The 27,421-nt window shown below is 34.0% G+C and overlaps 3 long non-coding RNA genes and 1 other non-coding gene across 8 annotated transcripts in view; 1 reads left to right on the top strand and 3 right to left on the bottom strand.

Moving 5' to 3' along the window:
• LOC102724340 (uncharacterized) overlaps window positions 1-27,421 on the bottom strand; it is a 246,221-nt gene that overhangs the window by 49,739 nt on the left and 169,061 nt on the right. The gene's annotated exons all lie outside the window — the stretch shown is intronic.
• Window positions 1-27,421, top strand: part of LOC105373776 (uncharacterized) — a 116,629-nt gene that overhangs the window by 8,637 nt on the left and 80,571 nt on the right. For 3 of the 5 annotated variants that reach the window (XR_923650.3, XR_923647.3, XR_923648.3), the window contains exons 1-2: window positions 22,103-22,234; window positions 26,359-26,417. This is a non-coding gene — a long non-coding RNA (uncharacterized LOC105373776). Of the gene's footprint in view, window positions 1-22,102; window positions 22,235-26,358; window positions 26,418-27,421 lie in introns of those variants that run through there. The other 2 variants (XR_923649.3, XR_001739817.2) reach the window with 1 other exon arrangement.
• LOC107985968 (uncharacterized) lies at window positions 2,305-6,594 on the bottom strand. Its single transcript, XR_001739820.2, has 2 exons — window positions 6,466-6,594; window positions 2,305-4,604 (listed from the first exon to the last, which is right to left on the bottom strand). It is a non-coding gene; the product is annotated as an uncharacterized LOC107985968 (long non-coding RNA).
• Window positions 7,708-7,777, bottom strand: MIR548AE1 (microRNA 548ae-1). Its single transcript, NR_039638.1, has one exon. It is a non-coding gene; the product is annotated as a microRNA 548ae-1 (primary transcript).

The raw sequence follows: 27,421 nt of genomic DNA, 5'->3' as shown, positions 1-27,421 counted from the left end.
GAATATTAACTCACAAGATCACAAGGTCCCACAATAGGCCATCTGCAAGCTGAGAAGCAAGGAAGCCAAGCCAAGTCCCAAAGCTGAAGAACTTGGAGCCTGATGTTTGAGGGCAGGAAGCATCCAGCACGGAAGAAAGATGTAGGCTAGGAGGCTAAGCCAGTATAGCCTTTTATTGTTTTCTGCCTGCTTTATATCCTGGACACACTGGCAGCTAATTAGATTGTGCCCACCCAGATTGAGAGTGGGTCTGCCTTTTACATCCCACTGACTCAAATGTTAATCTCCTTTGACACACCCAGGATCAATATTTTGCATCCTTCAATCCAATCAAGTTGACAGTATTAACCATCACAGTGTGCTCCTCTCTGGCCCAGGGCAGGTCCAATAATACTGTCTAAGATCCAAGGCCTGGAATGAAAGACCCCAAGAACCCACTTGGTGCTCTATGACCATGTGGCTGAGTTGTTACCTAAGGTATAAGACAAAGTCTCCTTTACTTTTCCCTTTGCTTTACTCAAGCAGAAGTCTCTCCCTGTAGCCAACACAGCTGGGGATGGGCTGGGTCTTACCTGAAGTCGGCAAGTCTCAGTGTCTCACCCAAGGCCCTTGATGTAGTACCTAGCTATTGCTGATGTTTTTTCAGGACCCAAGGTCTCTTCAGTCATCAGGTGATAAATCCTGCTAGAACTGGTTCCTTCCCTTCAAGACATCAGGTGCCCTTCTGTCCAAGAGTTTGCCTAGAAATGTCATTCGGGAGCTAGGCCCTGGAAAGTGGGCCTCATGACTCTGACCAATACCTTATCCTGCTGTGGCTTAGCTGGTATCCAGGATGCAAAACAAAGTCCTCCCTGCTCTCTCCTTTCCTCTCCTCAAGCAGAAGAAAGGGGTTTGTTTTGGAGCCACAAGCTGTGAAGCCTGGGTTTGGGGTAGGGGTGAGGCCAATACTCCCTTAGCCAGCCAGGCTGGTGTCTCAGTCAGTCTTGTGCACTCCTAGTCCTCTGGCTCTAGGTCCCTTTCTGCACTAGGATTCACCTAGGAGTTTCAGTCCTTGTGGCCTAAACTGCCTTTCAAGTTTATTTAAGACCCCAGAGCCTTTCTCCTGTGGTGGTGATGCTTGCAGGAAATTAAGGTCTGACTGCTGGGATTGACAATTCCCCTCTGGCTAGGGCTGATTTAAATGCTCCCTCCATGGAGGAGCATCAGCAGTGTTTGGTCAGCATTTTCTTTCTGCTTTAACACGGCAGCGCTGAGTTCAATTTCTCAAATTTCTCACAATTGCTGAGTTCTTCCTCTCCCTAAGTTACGGAAATGCTCTCAGCACCATGCCGCCATTGCTGGAAAACGGGAGTGGGGTGGCATCTGCGATTCAAGACAGTTTTTTACATCTCTTCAGTGCCTCTTTCAGCTATATGAATTAAAAACCAGGTACTGTGGGTGCTCACCTGAATTCTGGTTCTTATGAAGGTGCTTTTATGGTGTAAATAGTTTTTAAATTGGTGTCCTTGTAGAGGGGACAATCGGTAGAGCCTTCTATTCTGCCATCTTGCCCCATCTCCTCACCTTGAAATTTATATTATATGTTAACTATAAAAGCTTTACTTAAAAAGAAAATTCTGCACATCGGTCATACCCATTTATCAAAAATGACTATTATTTTTTAAACTGGAAGATCTTACTATTGCAGGTATTTTGATAACAAAGGTTATAATGGGAGTACGTTTTTATTCTAAGTCATAACATTTATCATTTTAACAGATAGTTAAAATATTTAACTCTGCGTAATTACCAGTAAGTCATTTTATATGCTTTCTGGACTTTTAAGAAAGATTTATTTCCACTACCTTAAACAATCTTATAGTATGGTGGGCAGAATAATTGCACCCACCAAAGATGCCCACAACCCTATCTCTGGAATTTGTGAATATGTTGTAATTCAGGGCAAAAGGGACTTTGCAGATGTGATAAAGCTAAGAATGTTGGGATGAGGAGATTATCCTGGATTATCCAAGTGGACCAAATATAATCACATGAGGCCCTAAAGTGGATAATTATTACTGATTGTGGTCAGAGATGTGAGAACAGATGGAGAACGGAGGGCCAAAGACCTTCAATATGACCAGTCTCACGTCTTTAGCTTTAAAAGTGGAGGAAGGAGGGAGACCATGAAACAAGGAACGTGGCAGCCTCAAGAAGTTGTGAGTGGCCCTCACCTGACAGCCGGAAAGAAAATGGGGACCTTGGTTCCATCACTATTCTGTTTTAGAATTGCAACAAGCATCCTTTAAAGCGATGAGAAAAGAAGACAAAAGCGATAAACTTTATTTAGTTTGTGCTTAAGCCCTAAGCATTCTTTATACATGCTTATTCAGAATTGTATCGTTCCCTTCAGCTGTTAGCTGTAGGTATTTGGTGATAAATAAGATAGTTTAAGACTAAATACATATCTTACAGTTATATTATTGGCAATATGCAGCATAGGGTAATTTTGGAGCATTGTTCTGTTTCTAAAGACCAGTATTTGCACCATCACTATCTAACAAAATAAATAAAATAGGCCAATATAATTTTCAAGTACCTAAAAAATTATAGGAGAATTATATTTTTTAAAAATTCAGCTTCACTTTTTTTGAAATGATTATATTACTTTCTGTATTATATTCCCTTCTTATACTCTATATTTGATATTGTGCATGATATAAACAAGTGTTAAGCTGAAAGTCAATAGTGTTGGAGTCTCATAAAAATACTTTCTTTGAACTATTTGGCAAGCCTCCTAACTTCTCCAGATTTCAATTTTTTAATTTGATAGATTTGTAAAAGGTGATTTATTTACCTGATCATTTTGTAAACATTTATTAGAAGAAATTGCTCATATCTTCTACTTTTGAAATCTGAAATATAGTCCGTGGTACTCTACAAACCCATCTTAAAAAATTATTGTTTATCAAATACAGTATTCATACTACTGTGCAAATTATTTTGTTGCCTCCTAATACAGGTTTTCATGTCCAAAATATATAAAGAAATTAGCATTACTGCAATAATTTTCTTTAAAACAGTGCATTTGATAAGAGACTAATAAGCTATGAGACACAGCCATTGGAGATAATATTTTTCCTCACTGTTTTTTATTTTTTAAATCCTTTTCACTTACCATTTAATCATTTGAACTATCTATTGTGTATTCATTTTTTCCCGTCATTTCTCTCTCTCTTTTCTTACTTCATTATTCGTTTTTAATATGGGGAAATAGATTTCTAGGTTTTATGTAATATCTACCAACATTAATTTTTGTCTTAAATACATTGAATAAACTTCCTGTTCAAAATTTTAATAAATCAACTAATTTTAAATGGTGATTTTTGGCAACTTTTTAAAGGTTTCAATCTAGGTTTCTATATTAATTTTTCAAATAACTATGAGTTGCATATTTTTAGGTATATAATCTGAGTTGCATGATAAGGACATATACTCCATCTACATCATTCTTCTATTGTTTTAAGGGAATATAACAAGTATGAGTTTTTAATTTATTTCATTCTGTGAGAAATCTGATTTTCAGAAAAAAACTACTGTTCTGTTTTTTGGGGGTTTTAGATTATAACTAAAAATGGCAGACCCTTCTCCCACCTATCTTATAAACTGATGGGGCTAATTAATAATTGGTGCAATTAATTTGCCTTTTTTGGAAGGCAAACTAGTTATATACCTAAAACATTGAAAATATGAGTTTCCCATCAAAATAATTTATGTTATACTAAATAATAATATTAGATTTGAAAATACAAGTAAAAAAACCATAGATTGACACAGTTTCATATATAAAAATATTTTCCCAAACACTCTATATATTAGCAAAAATATAAGAAGAAAACTAAAGGCCTCACAATTTCAGATTGATTAATAACTATAATATATACATAAAATATACTACATAGTAATTCATAGTTATTACCATAGATGTGCATGTATTAATTTGAAGAGACATTTATGATATATTGCTATATAAATTAACTCAGTTATAAAACTAGAATATAATCCCATTGCATAAATATTCTTGGGAAAAGTCTAAGCATAGACTTAAAATAATATTCTTAAATGTCTGTTCATTTCTTATTGCTTTACAAACTTACCGTTTACCACTAACTTAGTGGCTTACAACAAAGCAAATTTATTATCTTATATTTCTATGAGTCAGAAATCTAAAAAGAGTATTATGGGGCAAAAATCAAGGTGTCTGCAGGGGTATGTCCCTTCTGGCAGCAGCAGGAAAGAATCCACTTCTTGCTTATTTCAGCTTTTTAGGCTTCCTGCATTCCTCGGCACATCGCCCCTCTATCTTCAAAGCCAGATGTGCCTTTCTCACGTCGTTGTGACCTCTGCTTCTGTATTCACATCTTCTCTGACCCTCTGACTCTCCTGTCTTCCTCTTTCACATTAAAAGGACCTTTGTGATTATGTTAGATGCACACAGATAATAATCTTTCCATCTCATGATCTTCGATTAAATCACAGCTGCCAAATTCCTTTTGCTGTGTAAAGTAATACATTCGCAGAGTCAGGATTTTCATGTAGACATCTTTGGAGAGCTGTTTTTCTGCCTACCACAAAAAGGTATTTATTTTTATTTCTTTTTTATTTCAAATAATTTCTGACCCTTCCTTCCCACTGTCACCCACTAGCAGGTAATCATTATTAACCAAATAGTGTATATCCTCCCAGATTATTTTTACATATATGTTTACACAGATAGGTAGATACTTATTACATCATGGAATTATACATTCTGTTATTATCCTTAAATTTTCCTTGAAATATATATTCTGAATATTTTACAGAATTTTTGTATAGTCCTCCTGTAGGTTTATGAACACAGTTTTAATTTGATGGCTGCTGCCAAATTCCTCACAAAAATGTCGTAAAATTAGAAACCCACCTCCTGTGTCTGAAGGTAGTTTTTTCTTCACAATTTTTGTAAAGATTGAACATTATTATTCATTATAATATTTGCAAAATTGGAAAAATATCTGCTAAGGTATTTCTATGAATGCTACTGAATGCAATCATCTCTTTGTAAATATTGTGATAAAAAATAATATCTAAAAAGAAAATGTGACAATTGCTGTGTGTTAAAAAGAATTGCCAGAAATTAAAATCTTTTAAAAACAACAAAAATGCTTTGCAGTACAGTGATGTTGGGAAAATCAATAAATAAATTCATGAAATAGATGAGAGTCAAGGAAGAAAATAAGAATGTTAACACTAGATTATTTAGCAAAAAATGTCAGGGAAACTGGCTGAAACAAATATAAAATTAAGTAAAGCCTTATTTTATACATTACTTCAAATTTTAATATCAGATAAATATCAGACTGAAAAAAGTCAAGTAACCAATAACTTATAAAACAGAAAATATATATACTGATTAATGGGTCTTAGATTAAAAAAATTTTTAAGAGTAATAGAAATGTGATAAATCACAAAGTAAAATGGTCAGTGTATTTGACCATGTAAATATTTAAAATGCTTTTGAAAATCTAAAAATAAAAAAGTAAAAGACAACAATAAACCAAAAAATTAGTTTGGAAAATACTTGTCAAACAAAATTCTAATACTTTTAATAATTGAGGCTATTAATAAATGACTGAGGTTATTTAATTCATGGACTACATTCATGAAACACATTTAATTCTGGGAAGTGTAAATGCTATACAAATAAAGACTCTAGAAAATAATGTATTTAAGTTAAACATTCTAATCAAGTTAAAAAAGCTCTTTTTTAAACCTATCATTTTACCCCATGAGACTATAATAATGCCTGGTACATAGGAAGGCACTTAAATATTTATTAAAGAGAAAAATGAATGAATGATTTCTTCATAGCATTATTTATAATATTCAAAATTTGGAAATAACCCATATGTGCAACCCAAATAAAAGAAACAGTTAAATAAAGGATACCTAAATAAAATATATCAAGTAGATAACATAAATAATGTTTTGGAAAATATTTTATGTCATATGAAAAAATGTTTAAAAGATAATTTTCAACATTAAACCTCAGTTATGACATCAATGAGTTTTCTCTAATTATATAGAGAATGAAATATAGTTATAGCTGATCTCATTTTTTCTTGGTTCTGCTTACCCAAAGAAATAGGCTGTGTAAACTCTAAAGGCACCTCAACTTCTCTGAGGCCACGCAAAGCCCTCTTACCTCAGAGCCCTTGCCTTGTTGATACATGTAGTTATTTCAGCTTTTTAGGCTTCCTGCATTCCTCGGCCCTCTTTTCCTGCTGCTAACTCTTTTCATACTACTATGGCCTTACTTTATACCTTTATACCTAGTTAAGCAGCAAAGTCATTGAACCCACAATAAATTAGCCTGGAATAATATTCTGAAACATTCAAATAACTTATGGATCAATTCTGCTGCTGTCTTGAGTTCATTCTTACACTTACCCCTTATGAATCCCTGTCTGTTGCTTTGAAACTATGTTTTACTTCTGGAGCACAATCCTCACTCTGTCAGTTACAGGTCCATGCTTCCTCTGGTAACTCAAATTACTCCTGGCCATGTGTACGCCTCTTCTTTTTACCGCAGCACATTTGATATCAGAAAGATATAATGTAAAACTAGATTATCCATGACCCCAATATTATAAATACTACATAAGCAAAACAGTGAGTTTTGGCAGGATAAACTGAGCTTTATTTCTCTACATCATCTGTCCCATGCTACCACCCCATCATTCACACCATCTTCCTCTCTTACAGGTGGGTTGGTCATGGGAATTCATTGTAAATATGAAATGTTTTGTAATATTCTTCTAAGGAGGGGGAATACTATTCTGAGAGGAGGGGGAAATAGTGATTGGAATAAAACCAGAGCCCAAATTATTTGCTTGCAAAAAATTAATCCAAGTTAGGTTTATGGCACCACAAGGATTTAGGAAAAACTTTATTTGGAATTCTCTAGAGCAGTGTGGCCACAAACAGGTTTTCTAATTTTTCTCTAAATCGCATTTGAAAATTGTGTACCTCCTCACACTTACTAAGTTAAAATAAAATTTGTTTCATTATAGGTTTATGAAGTTCCAAGTAATGCAATTTTTCAAGTTTTTGTAAACTTAAACATTAAGTTGTTTTTGCTTTTAAAGCTGATGAGTAGAATCTAAATATCATACAGCTTTCAGCATTCATTTAAAATAGTTGAGTAAGCTCTTTTTAATATTAAAGTAATTTACACTTAAAAATTAACTTTTATTTCCATTCCACTTCCCTCATGAAATTTTTCACTGCGTAAGTTATTTATTCTATGTCATATTCTTTTATTGATGTCTCCTTAATATTTCTCTAAAAAAACATGCATATAAGTTAATTTTTTAAAAATTTCTAATCAAAATTATAGTGTGTGTGGCAGGGTGTGGTTATTGAACACTTCCTTACTTTTTGAAAACAAAAGGTGTTCTAGGCCCTCGTCCTAGAATTAGTCATTTCTCCAAGGAGCTCTGGCCCCTTTTCTTGAAGAATGGAACCAAATTCTGAGTGCTAGGGACACTGTTATTGGAGTGTCCTTGATTCTTGACTCTCTTAGTTTAGAGCAAAAGAAAATACAGGTGTATGTGATAATTGATTTACATGCATGTACTTATAAATATTTCTATATGTAATTCTCTCTCTCACTCGCTCTCACTCTATTAAGCAGGTGTGAAAGTAATTGCAGTTTTTGCCATTATAATGGCAAAAACCGCAACTTAATGGCAAAAACTGCCGTTACTTTTGCATCAATTTAATATCTATCTATATTATGGTAAACATGAGTTCATACTGATGTTGCCAGCTCCAATACATTACCACATAAATTATTCTAGCATCTTCCCCTTGAGTCTCTGTAACCTCCTATTCCAAGAATAAGAAATCTGTTTTTTGCCATCTGCCATCAACACACTTAATTTTTTATTTACGGTATACATGCATAATTCCAGAATTATTATTTTATATACCAGCGAAAGCAACTTTATCAACTAGATTATGGGACTTGTGTATAGTTGCATGCTTTTTAAAATGTTTTAAATTAACAGACTTTTAGAGCAGTTTTATGTTTACAGAAAACTAAAAGAACAGAGTTTACATATTCCCTCTCTCCCTCCACACTTAGTTTCTTCCATTGTTAATGACTTGCATTAGTACAATACAGCTGTTATACTTGATGAACCAGCATTGAATACATTATTATTAACTAAAATCCATAGTTTACATTATCGTTTACTCTTGGTGCTGAACATTCTATGAGTTTTGACAAATTGATGACATCAATGTACCATGACAATAATATACAGAATAATTTCACTGTCTAAAAATCCCTTGTGCTCCTATTATTTCTTTCCTCTGTGCTTTAAACATCTTGAATCCACAACCACAGAGTTTTTTCTGTCTCCACAGTCTGCTTTTTACAGATTATCAAATAGTTGAATAATACAGTATGTACCCTTTTTAGACTGGCATCTTCTAATTAACAATATGCATTTCAAGTTCCTCCATGTCTTCATTGCTTGATAGATCTTTTATTTTCATGGCTGAATAATATTCCACTGTATGAATGTATCATGGTTTGTTCATCCACTTATCCACTGAAGGACATCTGGCTGTTTCCAAATTTTGGAAATTATGAATAAAGCTGCTATAAACATATGTGTGCAGGTTTTTGTGTGGATATGAGTTTTAAACTCATTTTGATAAATACCAAGGAGTGTGATTGCTGGATTTGTATGGTAAAACTATGTTTAGTGTTATAACAATGGCCAAAGTCTCTTCCAAAGTAGCTGTACCATTTTGCAGTTCCAGCAGAAATGAGAGTTCTTGTTGCTCCATATTCCCACCAGCATTTGTCGTCATCACTGTATCAAATTTTATCTATTCTAACAGGTGTACAGTGGTATCTCACAGTTGTTTGAATTCTCAATCCCCCAATAACATATGATGCTGAGCATCTTTTTATATGCTTATTTGCCGTCTGCTATTGTTTGTTTGTCCCTCATGAATCTCATGTTGAAATTTAATCTCCAATGTGGAGGTGTTGGGAGGCAGGGTGTAACTGTAGGTGTTTGGTTCTTGGGGATGGATCTCTTATGAATAGATTAATTCCCTCCCTCAGGGGTGAGTGAGTTCTCACTTTAATAATTCCCAACAGAGCTTGCTGTTGAAAAGAGGCTAGCACTTCTCCCCTCTCACTCTTGGTTTCTTTCTTGCCATGTGATCCCTGCACACACTGGCTTCCCTTCATCTTCAACCATAATTGGAAGCAGCCTAAGGCCTTCACCAGATGCAGATGTTCAATCTAAAATCAGAATCATAACCCAAATAAACCTTTTTTAAAAAAAAATGAATCACCCAGATTCAGGTATTTCTTTACAGTAAGACTAAACAAACTAAGACATCATCTGTATATCTTTTTTTGTGAGCCATCTGTCTAAAATCTTTTACCCATTTTTTCATCAGAATTCTTGTTGAGTTTTAAGATTTCTTCCTGTGTTTTGGATGTGAAGCATTTTTCAGATATGTGTTTTGCAAATATTTTATCCCAGTCTGCAGCTTTTAAAAAATTCTCTTTACAGTGTCTTTTGCACAGCACAAGCTTTTAATATTAAGTAAAACCTACCAATTTATTTTTCTTTTCATAGATCTTGCTTTTGGTGCTGTATCTAAAAAGGCATTGTGAAACACAACATCACTTAGACTTTCTCTTATGTTGTCTTCTAGGAGTTTTATTGTTTTGAATTGTACATGTAGGTCTGTGTTGTATATCAAGTTAATTTTGAGAAAGGTGACAGGTATATTGTGTGGGCCCTTTATTGTTCCATATATCTTTTAACAATAACACAGTCTTGATTAACATAGTTTAATAGTAATTTTTGAATTACTGTATCTAAGTCTTCCAACTTTGTTTTTCTTCCCCTCCATATGAATTTTGTAATACATTTTAGGTATCCACTAAATAACATGCTAAAATTTTCATTGGATTTTCACTGAATCAATACATCTAATTGAGAAGTATGAACAATCTTAACCATATTGACTCTTTCTAGTCATGAATATGGAATTTAACTCCAGTTGTTTAGATCTTAGATTTCTTTCGTCAGAGTTTTGTTTTTTTCACATAGATATTCTTCATATTTGTTTTTCTATACCAAACTAAGTATTTTATTTTAGGGTGCTATTGTAATTCTTGTGTATTTAATTTCAAATTCTAGTTGTTCATTGCTGGTGTATAGGAAAGCAATTGACTTATGTATGTACTCATACCTCAGAGATATTGCAGTTCTGGTTCTTCACCAAGGCAATAAAGGGAAATGCAATAAAGAAAGTCACAAATTGTTTGTTTTTCAGTGTGTATAAAACTTATATTTATACTATACTGTGGTTTAAGTGTGCAATACTATTATATCTCAAAATAATGTGCAGGCCTTATTTAAAATATACTTTATTGCTAAAAATGTGTAACAATCATTTGAGCCTTCAGTGCATTGTATTCTTTTTTTAGTGGAGGGTCTTGCCTCAAAGTTGATGGCTGCTGACTGATTAGAGTTGTGCCTGCTAAAGTTTGCAGTGGCTGTGCCAATTTCTTAAAGTCAGACAACACTGAAGTTTCCCATATCAGTTGACTCTTCCTTTCATGAAAGGCTTCTCTAACATATGATGTTGTTTGATAGCATTTAATTAACAGTAGAACTTCTTTGATAATTTAAATCAATACTCCAAAACCTTGCTGCTACTTTATCAATTAAGTTGATATATTTTTCTAAACACTTTGTTGAGATTTCAAACGTATTCACACAGCATTTTCACCAGGAATATATTCCTTTGCAAGAAACCACCTTTTCTTGTCATCTATAAGTAACAACTCCTCATTGATTCCAATTTTCTCATAAGATTTCAGCAATTCAATTTTCTAATTGCCACTTCTACTTCTAGTTCTCTTGCTATTTCTACTATATCTACAATTATTTCTTCCACCAAAGTAATAAACACCTCAAAGTCATCCATGAGGCTTGAAATCAACTCATTTCAAACAATTGTTAATATTAATGTTGATATTTTGACCCCTTCTAATGATTCATGGATGTTCTTAACGGCATCTGGAATGGCAAATTGTTTCTAGAAAGTTTTCAATTTACTTTGCCCAGATGCAATGGAGAAATTACTATTTATGGAAAAACAGCTTTATAAAATATTCTTAAATAATAAGGCTTGAAAGTCAAAATTACTCTGTGATCCATGCACTGCACAATGGATTTTGTGTTGGCAGGCATGAAAACACTATGAGCCTTGTACATCTCCATCAAACCCCTTCACTGACTAGGTTTATTGTCAATGAGTAGTAATATTTTAAAAGCAATCTTTTCCTCTGGGTAGTAGGTCTCAACACTGGGCTAGAAATATTCAGTAAATCATGGTGTAAACAGATGTGCTGTCATCCAGAATTTGTTATTTAATTTATGGAGCACAGGCAGAGTAGATTTAGCATCACTGATAAGGACCCTAGGTTTTTTAAAATGATAAATGTGTATTGGCTTCAACTTAATGTCACCAGCTGCATTAGCCCCTAACAATTGAGTCAGCCTGTCCTTTGAAGGTTTGAAGCCAGTCATTGACTTCTCCTCTCTAGCTGTGAAAGTCTTAGATGGAATCTTCTTTCAATATAAGACTGTTTCATCTACACTGAAAATCTGTTGTTTAGTGTAGCACCCTTCATCAACTATCTTAGCTCGATCTTCTAGATAACTTGCTGAAGCTTCTACATCAACACTTGCTGCTTCATATTGCACTTTTATTTTATGGAGATGGTTTCTTTTCTTAAACCTTATGAAACAACCCTTATTAGTTTCAAACTTTTGTGCATCTATTACCCCTTTCAGCCTTCATAGAACTGAAGGGGCCTTATTGTAGATTAGTCTTTGGCCTATAAAAAAGTTGTGCTTGGTTTGATCCTTTATCCAGGCCACTACAACTTGCTCCGCATCAGCACTAAGGCTATTTTGCTTTCTTATCATTCATGTGTTCACTGGAGCAGTGCTTTTAATTTTATTGAAGAACATTTCTTTTGCATTTACAGCTTGGCTAACTGATGCAAGAGGCCTAGCTTTAGTCTTATCTCAGCTTTTGACATGCCTTCCTCACTAAGATTAATAATTTCTAGCTTTTAGTATAAAGTGAGAGATGTGTGATTCTTCCTGTCACTTGAATATGTAGAGGTCATTGTAGTGTTAATTTACCTAATTTTGATATTGCTATAGCTTAGGGAACAGGGAAGCCCAAGGAAAGGGACAGAGATGGGGGACCAGTCATTGGTGAACCACTTGGAACACACATAGCATTTTTTATTAAGTTCTCCATCTTATATGAGGATGATTCATGGAGACCCAAAACAACTACAATATAGCATCAAAAATCACTAATTGCAGATAAGCTTAAAAGATATAATAATAATGAAAAAGTTTGAAATATTGTGAGAATTTCTAAAATGTGATACAGAGACATGAAGTGAGCACATGCTGTTGGAAAAATGACAATGATAGACTTGCTCACTGCAGGGTTGCTACTAATCTCTAATTTGTAACAAATACAATATCCATGAATCATAATGAAGCAAAGTGAAATAAAACAAGGTATACATGTATTAGCCTTATAGCCTACAAACTTACTATAATTGCCTATTAGTTCTAGGAGTTTGTCATTGTTGTTGAATCTTTGTGATTTTCCACAAAGACAATTATGTAATCTGCAAAAAAATATATTTTCATTTCTTCTTTTCCCATCTGTATGCAATTTTAATTACTTTTATTGGCTTGCTGCATTAACTAAGACTTCTGGTAAGATGTTGATAGAAATGGTAAGAGGCAACATCTTTGTTTTGTTCCTGCTCTTGGAAAAGCATCTAGCCTCTCACCATTAAGTATGTTAGCTGTAGTTATCTTTTGGAGACAGTCTCTATTACATTAATAAAGTTCCCCCTATTCCTAGTTTGCTGAGTTTTTTTTATAATGAATGAATGTTGGGTTGTATCGAACATGTTTTCTGTACTTATTGATATGATAAAACATTTTTTTTCTTTTTTAGCTTGTTGATGTAATGGATTACATTGACTTATTTTTGAATGTTGATTCAGTTTTCCCTATTTGGAATGAATCCTACTAAGTCATGGTATATAAATATTTTTATATATTGTTGTTAGATTTTATTTGGTAATATTTTGTTGAGGTTTTTCACATTTAGGTTCATGATGGATATTGGTCTATGGTTTTCTTTATTGTAATATTTCTCTCATTTAGTATTAGGTTTATGCTAACCGAATACAATGAGTCAGGAAGTATTCCTTCTGCTTCTATTATCTGGAAGACATTGTAAAGCAATGCCCTGATTTCCTCCTTAAATGTTTTGTGGAATATACTGGTGAGTCCATCTGGGCCTAGTACTTTCTGATTTGAAAAGTTATTGAATCAATTTATTTAAGACGTACAGATATATTTATTTTATATATTTCTTCTTTTGTGAAATCTGAAAATTGTGAGATTGTTTCTTTTAAAAAATTGGTCCATTTCATCTAAATTATCAAATTTGTAGGCATAAAGTTGCTCATAATATCCCTTTTAATATCCACAGATTCAGGAGTGATGGTTCCTCTTTTATTTCTCATGTGATTAATATTTGACCTCTTTTTTTTTCTTATATAATTCTTAACTTGAAATGGATTGTAGGTGTAAATTTAAAATCCAAAAGTAGAAACTTCTAAGAAAAAAATAAACATAAGTAAAAATTGGTGTGATGATTTAGGCGTGTTTACTGTTTTCTATAGCTTTAAGTTTCAGAGGCTAAAATTTATTCTGTTGTCATTATTTTTGTTTCTTTTCTTTTCTTTGTGTTTCTTTAGATCCTCCTTCTTAAATAATGCTTTAAGTTTTCAGTTCTCTCCATTGTAATTGCCTATTATTATGCAGGAGTCCTATTGATGTGGTGGTAAGGTATGGGGGGAGAGAAAGTTTTCTATTGTCCTATGATTAGATTGCAAGCTTTTAGTGAGCCTGTGACCCAGGGCTGTGATCTTCACAAATTCTTGCTAGTGCTTTTCCCCTCAGGAAGGAACTGGAATTAAGTATTCCCATTCCCCCATGTCAGGCTCCTGTAAAACCCACAGTGGTTAGGTTCTGGTAAAATAGTGTGACTTGAGGGAGGGCTTTTGTTAAAGAGAACAGAATCCTCTGGTTATATTTTTAAATGGTTACTTTTCTTCTTCCCCTGACAGGGAATTTCCTCAGATCTTTGCCCTGAGAATTTGCTGGGACTTCTGGGGGTGAAACTTCTGAAAATGTGGGTCCCCCTACAAGGCGGCTCTCCCTCTAGTTCTTAAGTCTCAAAGTTGTGCACATTGAGCTGCCAGCAATTCAATGATTACTGTTTAGGTTTCCCTATCCCAGAGCTAGCTGTAGCAATAGGTTCCTGCTCCTGGGCTTCTTTTCCAAAAAGCTGTGATTCTCTATAGTTGCCTATGTCTCTAATTTGAAGGACAGCAGCTCGCCTTTGATGGATTTAAGAAAAGTTGAAAACATTAAAGTTTTTAGCTCTTTTTTCTTGTGAAGATGAGAGTGATGACTTCTAATTTTCTTAAGTGTCTGACCTGAGACACTTAACATTTTGGATCTCTGATTGGTTTCATTTATATTGATTCATTTATTTGCCTTTATTCTTATAGACTCTATTCATTTCCAAAATTATGCAGGCCAGTATCTTATTCCCCATCATTCTCAGTAGATTGTTTCAAGCATTTGTAGTACAATGAATGTCTTTCATCATATTCTACATTCCATCCTATGATCCCGTGACCTCCTAAGTAATCTGGCATTCATCTGTATACATTAAAGTTCACTCATTATCCTATAAAGCTCTATGAGTTTGGACTAATGCACAGTGATATATATCCACCATTACAACATCACAAACACCAGGTTCACTACCCTTAGTAATACCCTCTGCTTCACTCATCCAGCCCTTCCCCATCTGAACCCATGACAACCACTAATATGTTTACAGTAACTATAGTTTTGCCTTTTTTCATAATGCCATATAATTGAAATCATATAGTATGCAGCCTGTTTAGATAGGCATCTTGCATTTAAAATTCATCCACGTCTTTTGGTGGCTTGAGTACTCATTTTTAAAGCACTTAATAATATTTCATGTATTACAGTTTTCTTAGTTCAGCTAGGTCTAAGTTCCTGTCCCATTACTGAGAAGAGGCATGTAGACACTGGGGAGTGAGTAAGGCAGAGTAGGATTTCTTAAGCGAAAGGAAAGCTCTCAGCAAAGACAGAGACCTGAAGTGGGTCACTGGAAATGGGCCTGAGTTCTGTTTTTTTTTTCTCATGTAGCAAGAACAAGGAAGTCTTCTGTGGGTTCTTCCCAAATGGGAAAGGTAAAGTTCCCTCCTAGGGGTGTTGCATCTGTGCATGCCTGGGGCTGGCCATAGTGTCTACATCTTGGTTATTACCCATGAGTGCAGAAGTGAAACCTACAGGGGGGCTAAAGCCACATGCTGATGTCATGTTAATGATATTATAATGAGCTGGGTCCAGTTAAAGATATTTAGGTTGATTTATTTCACCTGCACCTAAGTTGGGACAGTCCCTTCTGAGCAAACATCCTGGCATAAGAGGAAGTTCTTAATCAAATTTCTTCCCATTATCTACATGGGCAATGCAGGTGTGGTCCCAAAGTGTTTTTCCACTCCCAAGACCCTCCCTCTCTATCTACATAACTGGCCTCTAACTGCCTCCTCTGTCACATGGATGGATATGCCATAGTTTATGAATTCACCTATAAAGAACATCTAGGTTACTTCTGGTTTGTGGAAATTATGGCTAAACTATATGTTATAAACATTTGCAAGCAAAGTTTTGTTTGGAGATAAGTTTTTAAATCAGTTGAGTAATTACCTAGGAGCATGAATGCTACATTTTATAGTGAGACTATGTTTAGCTTTGTGAGAATCTGCCAAACTGCCTTCCAAAGTGGCTGTACAATTATGCATTCCCAAGGGCAACAAATGAGCAGTATTCCTATTGCTTTACATCCTCACCAGCATTGTCAGTTTTTTGGATTTTAACCATTATAGTAGGTGTGTAGTAAAATCTAATTTTATTTAAATTTGCAGTGTCTTAATGATATACGATGGTGATTATTTCTACCTGTGTTTCTTCTCTAGTGATGTGTCTGTTCAGAGCTTTTGCCCAGTTTTTTCTTGGGTGCTTTGTTTTGTTATTGTTAAGTTTTAGGACTTCTTTATTTTGTATACATGTCCTTATGAGTTTCCCAAATATATTCTCTGATATTGGGCCTCGTCTATTGATACTCTTCACAATGTCATTCCCAGATAAGTTTTAAAATTGATAAACTATCAGTTATTTTTTTCTTTCATGAATTTTGTTTTTGATGTTGAATCCAGCAACTAATTGCCAAACTCATTATCACACCAATTTTTACTTATGTTTATTTTTTTCTTAGAATTTTCTAGTTTTGGATTTTAAATTTAAGCCTACAGTCTATTTCAAGTTAATTTTTGTGTAATTTATAAGATCAGGCGAGATTCTTTTTTTTTCCACACAGAAGTCTAATTGCTTTAGCATCATTTATTGAAAAAAAGTATCCTTCCTTCATTGAATTGCTTCTGTGACTTTGTTAAAAACTACTTGACTATATTTGTTCAGCTTCATGTCTGGGGTCTCTATTACATCTCTATTCCATTGATTTATGTGTCTACTTTTCTACTAATATTCTGCAGCTTCTAATTCTGTAGCTTTATAGTAAGTCTTGAAATTGGATAGTATGAGTCCTTAAATTTTGTTCTTCTCAAGCTTTTTTTTTTGTTTCTTTTTTTTTTAGCTATTCCAGTTCTTTTGTTTTTGAGGGAGAATTTTTTAAATTTATTTTTAAATTTTGATTTTATGGGTATGTAGTAGGCGTATATATTTGTGGTGTGTTAGGAGTATAAGGTATAATAACATTGTGAACATGTTTTGGCAAAGGTCAAGACATGGTAAAAAAAGATAAAAGTGTAAGCATGTGTTGATCAAATAGTCAGGACATGTAAAACAAGATAAAATAGAAAGATGTTGACACAGATGTTGCCAAACGTATCTGGGACTTTGGATTTTGATAAACAAGTTAGGTAAGCAGTCATGGACATTGCAAAATGTTTTGATTTTGGACTTTGGCAAACAAATGGATCAAAACAACAAGGGATTACCACGGGCATAACCAATCAGGAAGAAGGACTCAGGACTACACTTAAGGATGAAGCACAGAAAAGAAGGACTTCACGACCAGTTGTCTGTGGCAAATCCCCGATCAATCTCTATGCCCCTTGCTGCATGCTTAGCGGCAAGAGCTAGCTGTGTGGAGGCCCTCTGCCCATTCACTCTGACATCTGACAAGACCAGGATGGACAGACTGGAGGTTGTTTGATCCTCCAAGGGTACACTTGAATGTTGAATGGAACTTGGATTGAATGATTTTAACTGCCGTGGTGAGGCTGGCCCTTAATAACCCCCTTTGATTGTGTTTTTGCCTGTGCTGAGAAATGGCAGTTGGTTATAGTAATTAATAAATCATGTGATTCAAGCATCTAACTCGAGTTGCTGGTTGTTGTCATTTCCTGTGCCATAAAACCCTGGAGAAAGTACAAGTTATGTCCTCGTGACATGGTGCATGTGAGATGTTTTGACACAGGCATATAATGTGTAATAATCACATCAGGGTAAATGGGGTAATCTTCCCCTCAAACATTCTTCATTTCTTTACATTATAAACATTCTAATTATACGTTTTTCTTATTTTAAAATGTACAGTAAAGTATTGTTTACTGTAATCATCCTATTGTGCTATCAAATACTGGATCTTACTCATTCTATCTATGTTTTTGTATACATTAGCCATCTCCACTCTATCCCTCACTACTCTTCCCAGCCTCTGGTAACCATCATTCTACTCTTTATTTCAATGGGTTCGATTGTTTTAATTTTTAGCTCCCACAAATGAGTGAGAATGTGCAGTTTGTCTTTCTGTACCTGTCTTATTTCACTTAACATAATGTCTTCTAGTTCCATCCATTTTGTTTAAAATGACAACATCTCACTCTTTTTATGGCTAAATAGTACTCCATTGTGTATATGTACTACATTTTATTTGTTTTCTTTTTTTCATGTAAACTTTAGAATTATTGTCAACATCTACAGAGTAGCTTGCTGGAATCTGGATTGGGATTGTGGTGAAACTATTCTGCAAATTGAGAAGAACTGACATTTAAACAATATTGATTCTTTCAATTCACAAACACCAAGTATCTTCCTCACTTATTTTATTCTCCTATGATATTTCTCATCAGTGTTTGGCTGTTTTCTACAAATAGATGCAATATGTATTTTGGTAGATTCATATAGAAGTATTGGATTTCTTCTACTGCTTTTTCACAAAGGTCAAAAGTAATTAAATGAAGGAAGAATAACCGTTTCAACAAAGGGTGCTAGAGCAATTGGTTATTCATAGACCAACAACTGAACCTCAATGTAAACATCTAAACCTTACACCTCATACAAAAATTAACTCAAAGGTATTACAGACTTAAATGTACAATGTAAAACTACAAAGCTTTTAGAGACCACAAGGGATATTATCTTCAGGATCTCTAGCTGAGCAGGGAATTCTTATACTTGATGAGAGTAAACATGACACAGAAAAAAAGAGTTAACAAATTGGATACATCAAAATTAAAACTTTTTTTCTCTAAAAAATACCTTATTTAAAAGGTGGAAAGACAAGCTGTGGACCAGGAGAAAATATTTGCAAATCACATATAAAATAAAGGACTGAAATATAGACTATACAACAGACTGAAATTCAACAGTAAAAAAGTAAACAATCCAATTAGAAAATGGGCAGAAGACATGGACAGAAATTTTACTGAAGAGGACATATCAATGGAAAATAAGTACATAAAAAGGTATTCAATAATGTTAGCCATTAGGGAAACACAAATTAAATCAACCATGAGATATCACTAAATACACATACGAGTGATAAAAATTAAATTAAAACGTTGACAGCAGCAAATAATGATCAGGATGCAGAGAAAGCAGATTACTCCTATATTGCTGATAGAAATATAAAATGGTACAGCCAGTCTGGAAAACAGGATGGTAGTTTTTTACATGACTAAACTTGCCACTGCCATATGACCCATAATTGCATTCCTGAGTATCCCGGAGAGATGAACACATACATTTACACAAATACTTGTACACTAATATTTACAGAAGCTTTATTTAAAACAAATAAAAGTTGAAAATGACCTATGTCTTTCCATGGATTACTTGTTATATAAACTATTATGCATAGACACCATGACGTACTGCTTAGTAGTAAATACATGGAATTATTGACGTGTGATAACCTGAACAAACTGTGAGAAAATTATACCAAATGAAAAAAGACAATGCTCAAATCTTATGTACTGTATAATTTTATTTAACATTCTTTTTAAATTTGAGTTCTGTTTTTTTTTTTTTTTTGGCAGAGTATTGCTTTGCTGCCCAGGCTAGAGTGCAGTGGCACATTCAGGGCCCACTGCAACCTCTGCCTTTCCAGCTCAAGTGATCCTCCCACATCAGCCTCTGGAGTAGCTTGGACTACAAGCCCTTGCCACTATGTCCAGCTAATTTTTGTATTTTTAGGAGAGATGAGATCTAGCTATGTCACCCAGGCTGGTCTAGAACTCTGGGCTCAGGCGACCCTCCTGCCTTGGCCTCCCAAAGTGCTGGGATTACAGGCATGAGCCACCATGCCTGGCCTATTTAACATTCTTGAAATGACAAAATTAGGGACATTTCCAGTTAGGTAATCTTAACCACACAAGAGATGCTATCTGGAGATGGGGCCTTGAGAGCTAATTAGGTTTAGATGAGGTCATGAAAGCAGAGCCCTCATGATAGGATTGGTGCACTTGTGCAAAAAAAAAGACACCAGAGAGCTTGCTGTCTCCTCTTTCTCTCACTGCTGTACAAGGATACAGCGAGAAGGCAGTCATCTACAAGCTATAGCCTGACCAAACTGGCACCTTGTTCTTGGACTTCTAGCCTCCAGAATTGTGAAGAAACAAATTTGTGTTGTTTAAACCACTCAGTGTATGATAGTTTTGATGGAAACGCAGGTGGACTAAGACATACGGTTTTTATTCTTTTTCTCCTTAAGCCAAGGAAGTTGCATTGTTTAAAGTTTTGTAATGTGTTTAAGAACTTGCTGATATCACTTACAAGCTATGTTATAGCTTTTAGAGTACATAAATACTAATTTCAGAAGCTATAAGAAGATATATTTTAAAAGAAGAAAACATTCCTGAAGTGCCCCATTTGCTGTTAGTTCATTCCACCATTAACTTTTTGAGTTAACTTGGGTTTTATTTTTCTTTTTATTTCCCTCCTTTTTAAAATTAGAACACTTTTTGCTTATTAAGAATCACCTCACAGATGAAAGAAAAATGCTCCAATTATCTTTTGGGAATGAGTTTTCATACTACATGCACATCAATTCTTCTCAAGAGGAGACATACCTATTTCAAGACTTCTTTTAAAATTACAATTTAAGCACCTCTTATTTGTGTCAAAATTATTTAGTCTGTTTGAATTGCCCCAAGAAAAAAATATTCTAAGAGGCTTTATAAAAGGAAAACTTCTTGTTATTCAACTCCTATGTTCCTCCTGAGAATTTTTTAAAACACATCTATTTTAAGAACCTGTGGGAAAATTTACATTTTACCCAGAGTTGTTGTAAACAACAAATATAAAAAGATTCAAATAGAGTTGCTGAAGCAGGAGTGTGTTGAATTACTCTAGTAATTCTTTAGCATCTATTTATATATGTTTCTAATAGTTCCCTCAGAAATATTCACACAAAAAAAGAAATAGGATGTTAGAAGCAACAACGTAATGGTCCATTCATACAATATGTTCCAACAGATAAGTTATTGTAACACAAATACAAGTAGAAATACATCTAGGCATTATAGATCTGAGCCTATTTTTGTAAGACATGCTTAAATAATGTATCGATGATCAAATCACTTATGTGATATAACAACTATGTCCTGGCCCATAGTGGGTACTAATACATATTAGTAATTAAAGGAATGAAGGTACTTAGTTGTTATAAAATAATGGAATATAAGCACGACCTAAATACATTCTATATATAAGTGTGTGTATATATAGATGTAACATGTATATACTATATATCTAGATCTATATACATACTTTCAAGCACATATGTAAACTTGTGATTTATACATTGTGATTTATACAAGTTTACATATACGTAAACTTGTGATTTATACAAGTTTACATATACGTAAACTTGTGATTTATACAAGTTTACATATATGTAAACTTTTGACTTATACTCTGATTTTTTTATAGAAGCACTGAATTCTCCTTACTGCCTTCATATAAGAAAACAGAGGCATTCATTTTTCTCTCTCCTTTATAAGCTTGCATGATGAATCTGATTCCTCTACCTTGGCACAGTTGAACATCATGCATTGAGATGCTGTGGTGGCATCTCAAGATCAAGGAAACTTGGATCTCTAAGTATCTGGATGTAGAAAAATTCTAACCAACCCAAATCAGCAGATTTGAAGGCTGGGAGGTGTTTGGTAATACCATATAATCCTTGACTAGTATACTCAGTGTTATTGTTCCTTAAATGATCCATGACTTATTCTGTTTACTTTGTTAATATAAATCAAATTTTATATAAACATATGCCTTTGTTTAGACAGAAAATGCCATTTTTTAATAATAGTTCTTTATGTAGACACAGCTTAACACTGGTTTTCATTTCAAATGATATTATGAAATGATGCTGTTCCTGAATATCTGTGTGCTCTGAGCTAGAGTAAAATTAAATCTCATTTGATTTTAGCCATATGTACCTTGAGAAGATACTACTAGATAATCATATGCTATATTATGTATTATGGTTTTCCTATACCAGTTAGCTGCCATCCTACTGAGGAAAAAGACATCATTCTAATGTACTGTAATAAATTCTGATCATGAAATCAGCCCATTAGGAAGCACCTCTTGGAGATCATGGATAACATGCTAGGAAAATGCATCCTTTTTTAGTGGTGAGTGCATGAAGTCCTGTAAGTAACATTCATGTATACTATTAACAATTTGATCCAAATTATATTGTTTTTACTTTCCCTCACAGGGAAAGAAAAATAGGCACTGAGTCAATAATATCAACAACATTGTTGTCTCTTAGAGTTAAAAAGAAATATAAAGATTCTTTACATCAAAGCATCAATTGAAAAGAAATAGAAGGTCTAAAAACTAATATTCAAATTAAAACTACCTGGAGATATCCATTCATTTGTAATATGTGGCTCTACCAGTTCTCTCAAAGTTATTTTCAGTGCCTCCCTGCTTTCATTAAGTTTAAGGCATCTATTTAATCAGAGAAAATGTAAAACTTTACTGAAAGATTACACAGAGGAAAAAAACTATATTCTGCTTTTGAGATTCTAAGCAATATTACAAAATCATAATAGAGACAATGGTTTGAAAACCACAGCTTTTGTTTAGAACAGGTGCGCATTTTGTGGGAAAAAATAGATTTTAAGATTAAAAGGGCTGAAATTGAGAGGAAGGAAGACATAATTTATTTAGACAAAAATAAAGGGGTAAGAGATTGGGGAAAGATTCAGATGATCCGGACCAGGTAGTCTCCACTGGGGTTTCTAGCGCTGTCAGTGAGAAACGGGCTTACTTCAGGAGGGCTGAGCGGTGCTCATCTCCCAGGATGTGCACATAAAGGTGTGCAAAGTTGACCTCCAGCAGTTGGTCAGTCTCTGCCAGAGCAAAAACTATTTTTAATATCCTGATGAGACTGCATGAGAGGCCCTCATGTCCACAGTGCACATAGTCTACAGAATGGAGAGAAAATTGCACTCCCTCTCCTTGTCATATGTGGAGAGCTTCATCTTACCCAGGACCTTACATGCCTCCATGCTTATTTAATAGAATTGATACACTTGTTGAGCTCTGCCTTATTATACCAAATCGATAAACCCTTCTTTGCAATGCCCCAGATGCTCATATCTCATTGAGTGCTCCTCAAGCCTTATTGTGCATGCATTACGGGAAGATATTGTAGAAATGCAAATTCTTATTTCATAGGCCTGGAGTGCAGTCTGAGATTCAGTGTTTCTAACAAGCTGCCACGTGATGGCAGTGCATGTGTCCAAAGGCCATAATTGCCCTGGACGGTCACATATGTCTCAACCCTGGATGCACATCAGACACACATGGTAAAAAGATAAAAACACCAATACTCAGACCTCAACACCCCTTTGCTAGAAGGATTTTGTTGTAATGGGTCGGGAGTGGGGACAAAACATCAGTATATCTTAAAAGCCTCCTTATGATTTCTAATATGTTGGGTAAGAACACTGGAATAGGGAGTTAAGAAGTGAAATCCTCCAGCACCTACTTTTGGGTGAGATTGGAAATAAACTAATGGAGATAAGACTATTCCGCCAATTCAGAAGTAGTGAATGTAAAACCCACTCCTGTTATATGAAGATAAACACACACACACTCACACACACACACACACACACACAATTTTGATTCACAGAAAAGAATCAGATTTGCTATTTTTATTTTTATAACATGCTTATTAATTTTACTTGCTGATAAAATATCCATAATCAATGTTTAGACTTAAAATGTTTTAGTAGATGCCAAAGTCTTTTTGAAACTAAATTGCCCTGGGATTGACATATAGTTTCCTAAATCTTTCAGAATCACAAAACAAAATAAAAAATGATCAAATGATAAGCAATGCTTTATAAAGTAGTAAATATATTTGTGAGTGTGTTTCGTTTTGTTTTGCTTAATGCTGACATATAAGTGATAATATTACTCTAAAGCAAAGCTTTTTAATGGACATTTCAATTATGACTTATATCTTAATTTTATGGACCATTGAGAAAACATTTGACAAAAAGTAACATTTTTAATAACATGTATTATAAATGACAATCTGGGGGATTCTTACCTTTACTTATATCAAAGAGCTTAGATAAAGCATCAAATTCTTTTGTTACAAATTATTTCAGAATTGATTCTTTTAAAACACATACTACAAAAATAATCATATATTTTGGGAGAATCTTTGAATATAGAACTTTAAGACTTTTAAGAGGTTCTTTGTTCTATATCCCTATGCTACATCAAACTACTCCTGCCAGGTGACAAGTTAGTCTACTTTAGCACCAGAGAAATCAATTCATAGTCTTCCCACACCATAATCAATTGCACTTATTAATTCTCCAGAACTATGTCTTTCTGTGTAATCTAAATATGTTTCATTGAACCCAAATTGGCCTTAACATAAGAGAAGAAATATATATGTTTTTTCTGAGTACTAAAACTAATTACAGACATTAATAATGCTGTGAAGTCGTCTTTTAAGAATTTGTGCCACTGTAGAATGATTTTAATTCTCAAATGAAATGTGCACTTTTTTTTTTCATTTGGTTGCTCGGTGTCTGTCTCCAATTCTGAATAACATCAATTTCCTTTTAGGATGTACCATTTCTCCCTGACTGAGTATAGTCTAGATGAAACTCACTAGGCAGCACTGCCCTCCTCTAGCTTGGAATTTTTGTTTTTAATTGCACAATTTATTTGGTTATTTTCAGGCCGAATTGCTATGCTAAATATCTTCTATTATTGTAAATTCCATTTTTCAAAGTGCCAGAACAATGGGACCTCCTTCAAGAGGTCACTCTTTATACAAAAGTCTGTTCACAAAACAGCTTATGCTCCTGAGCTTTTATTTCTCATTGAAAGTGAATCCATCATTCAGCCCCTTTCTTGGTAGATGATAGATAGATAGATGGATGGATGGATAGATAGATAGATAGATAGATAGATAGATAGTTGGATGATAGTCATAAAGAGATATTCATTTAATTAGATATACAGTTTTATTCACACAAGCATATGTTAATTGAAATTTATTGTAATTGTACTAACTACAAAGGAATTCATTTTCAGGATTTTTATAATCAAGGACCAGTGAATATGCTAAAATCTCAAGTGTATGGATGCATCATTGTACTTATGTTCTTCCTTTCCAATTAAAATAGCCTAAAATTTGTCAACCCTGTAACAGTTACCATATACCTGAGAAACAGTCAGATTAAGGCTGCCATAGGAATTGACTAAAATGATCAGATTTTCGTATGTTATTTTAAAATACATAATTTTACATTTTAGTTTAGATTCTGGGGGTATAAGCCCAGGTTTTTCATCTGGGTATATTGCATAATGCCAAGATTTGAGTATGATTGATCCCATCACCCGGATGCTGAGTATAGTACCAAATTCTTAGTTTTTCAATCCTATTTGCCTCCCTCCATCCCCCTTTTAGAAGTCCCCAGTGTCTATTGTTGCCACCTCTTTGTCTATGAATAGCCATTCTTTAGCTCCCACTTATTGTGTGTGTTTTTAAATAAAGCATTTTTTTTTTACCTTTGTAGGAGCAAGTAGTATCCTAACTTAATAATATGCTGTGTCCTTGCAAATATCAAACCCTATTTTTATCATTTGAACTGGAGATGCTCCTTGATCTTTCTTCCTATAAAATTAAAATAATTTCTGTCTTTAGTGGTGATGCTATTTTTCTTTTAAATGCTTTAATATTTAAGAGGAAAATAAATTACCATAATGATTTTCCAAATCGATGTTATTCTAGTAGTTATGTGAGAAAAAAAATTAAAGATTTTCTTCTTAAATTTAGGCAAGGCTGATTTAAGCAAGTATGTTGATCCTTCCCAAACAAAATGCTGATCCCCAGAATCTTGGGCATGCTTAAAATTATTCCCAGGAATACACAGAAAATAGCTGGCAGAGTAACCAAAGAAACATATGGACCAGGTCTCCACTTTCTTGCCCAATCCGTTGCCAGCTGAAATGTCACTTCTTCATCAATGCTCCCATCACAAAATGCTAATTTTCTTCAGTTATTTTCCACTATGTTTTCTTTTCTTAATAGCATTTACCACAATTTAAAAGTATTTATTCACTTTTATGTCCTTCCTTCCTTCAATAGAACAAAAACCTTATCTATCATACACTTATTTCTACCTATATATCTTGCTGTCACCAACTTCTCTCTTCTCATAATCTTCTTAATCAACTCTAATTGAGCTTTATCCTATTTTCTCTCCTAAAACAGGGCTTATCAAAAATAGTGATGACGTACATCTTGCCAAACCTATTGCAACCTCCCCTTAGGTAAGTTCAGTCTCATTTCTTAATATATTTTTGTTTAGTGACTCCGTGTCTACATTTTTACTGCCTTACTCCTGCATTTCACTTATATCTAGTCAGTTTAACATTTACACATACATTTCTGAAAAAAAAAACCTTGATTTTCCCTTTTGTCTCATACTCTTCATCCAGTCTATTAGTAAATCATGTCTATACATTTTTCAAAATACAACATAAATCTAATTTTTAAAAAATAATAATATCCTAATACCCAAGTGAAAGATACTATCACTCACTCCTGTAATACTACAAGTCTCCTCATTAGTTGCCTTGCTCCTAGTCTTGCTCCTTTCCCTAATAGATCATTTTTCACAGAGCAGCCATTATCAGGTCAAAGTGTAGATCACATTCTCACTTCACTATTTATATAACATTAAATTTAAATTTAATTCAGGCATGTTAGATACATCAAGCAAATAGTTATTAGTAATTTATTAAGAAACATTTTCAGATGTTTCATTACCTCCTTAAACCAAATAAATGGGTTGGTTTAAGGAGGTAATGAGAAGTGAGACCATATACACCCATGCCATATGCTTTATTAGTGAAGAAATGAAAGAAAACAGTGATGTTTTGAAGAAAAAATGAGGGTTAGAAGTAATTTATATTACATATTTTCATAAGTGGTCGATAAAGAAGTGAGAGATTGAAGATGAAAGAGAAAGAGAGTGACTGGTTGTGCAAGGTCCCAGATGAGACATGAGATTGTGGCTTCCATTATGTCTGTCTCTGTCTCTCTATCACTTTATAGAGGCAGTTAAGAAGCAATTCACGGAGAGAAAAAGTGTTTAGTAATTTTTGTCATTGAGGCATGCAGATATAGAGATAGAATAAGAATTTCCTAGTGCCTGTCTCTTCAATTTAACTCAATTTTAAAATCCAATTATGTGTTTAAAAATGCATATGAAATATAATGCCTAAGAATGGATTACAAATGTTACTTTGACCTATGAAATGAGCTTAATCTA

Source organism: Homo sapiens, chromosome 2 (genome assembly GCF_000001405.40).
Source record: "Homo sapiens chromosome 2, GRCh38.p14 Primary Assembly".
NCBI lineage: Eukaryota > Metazoa > Chordata > Mammalia > Primates > Hominidae > Homo > Homo sapiens.
Note: the sequence above shows the minus strand (reverse complement) of the source record. Positions and strands in the feature narration are given on the sequence as shown.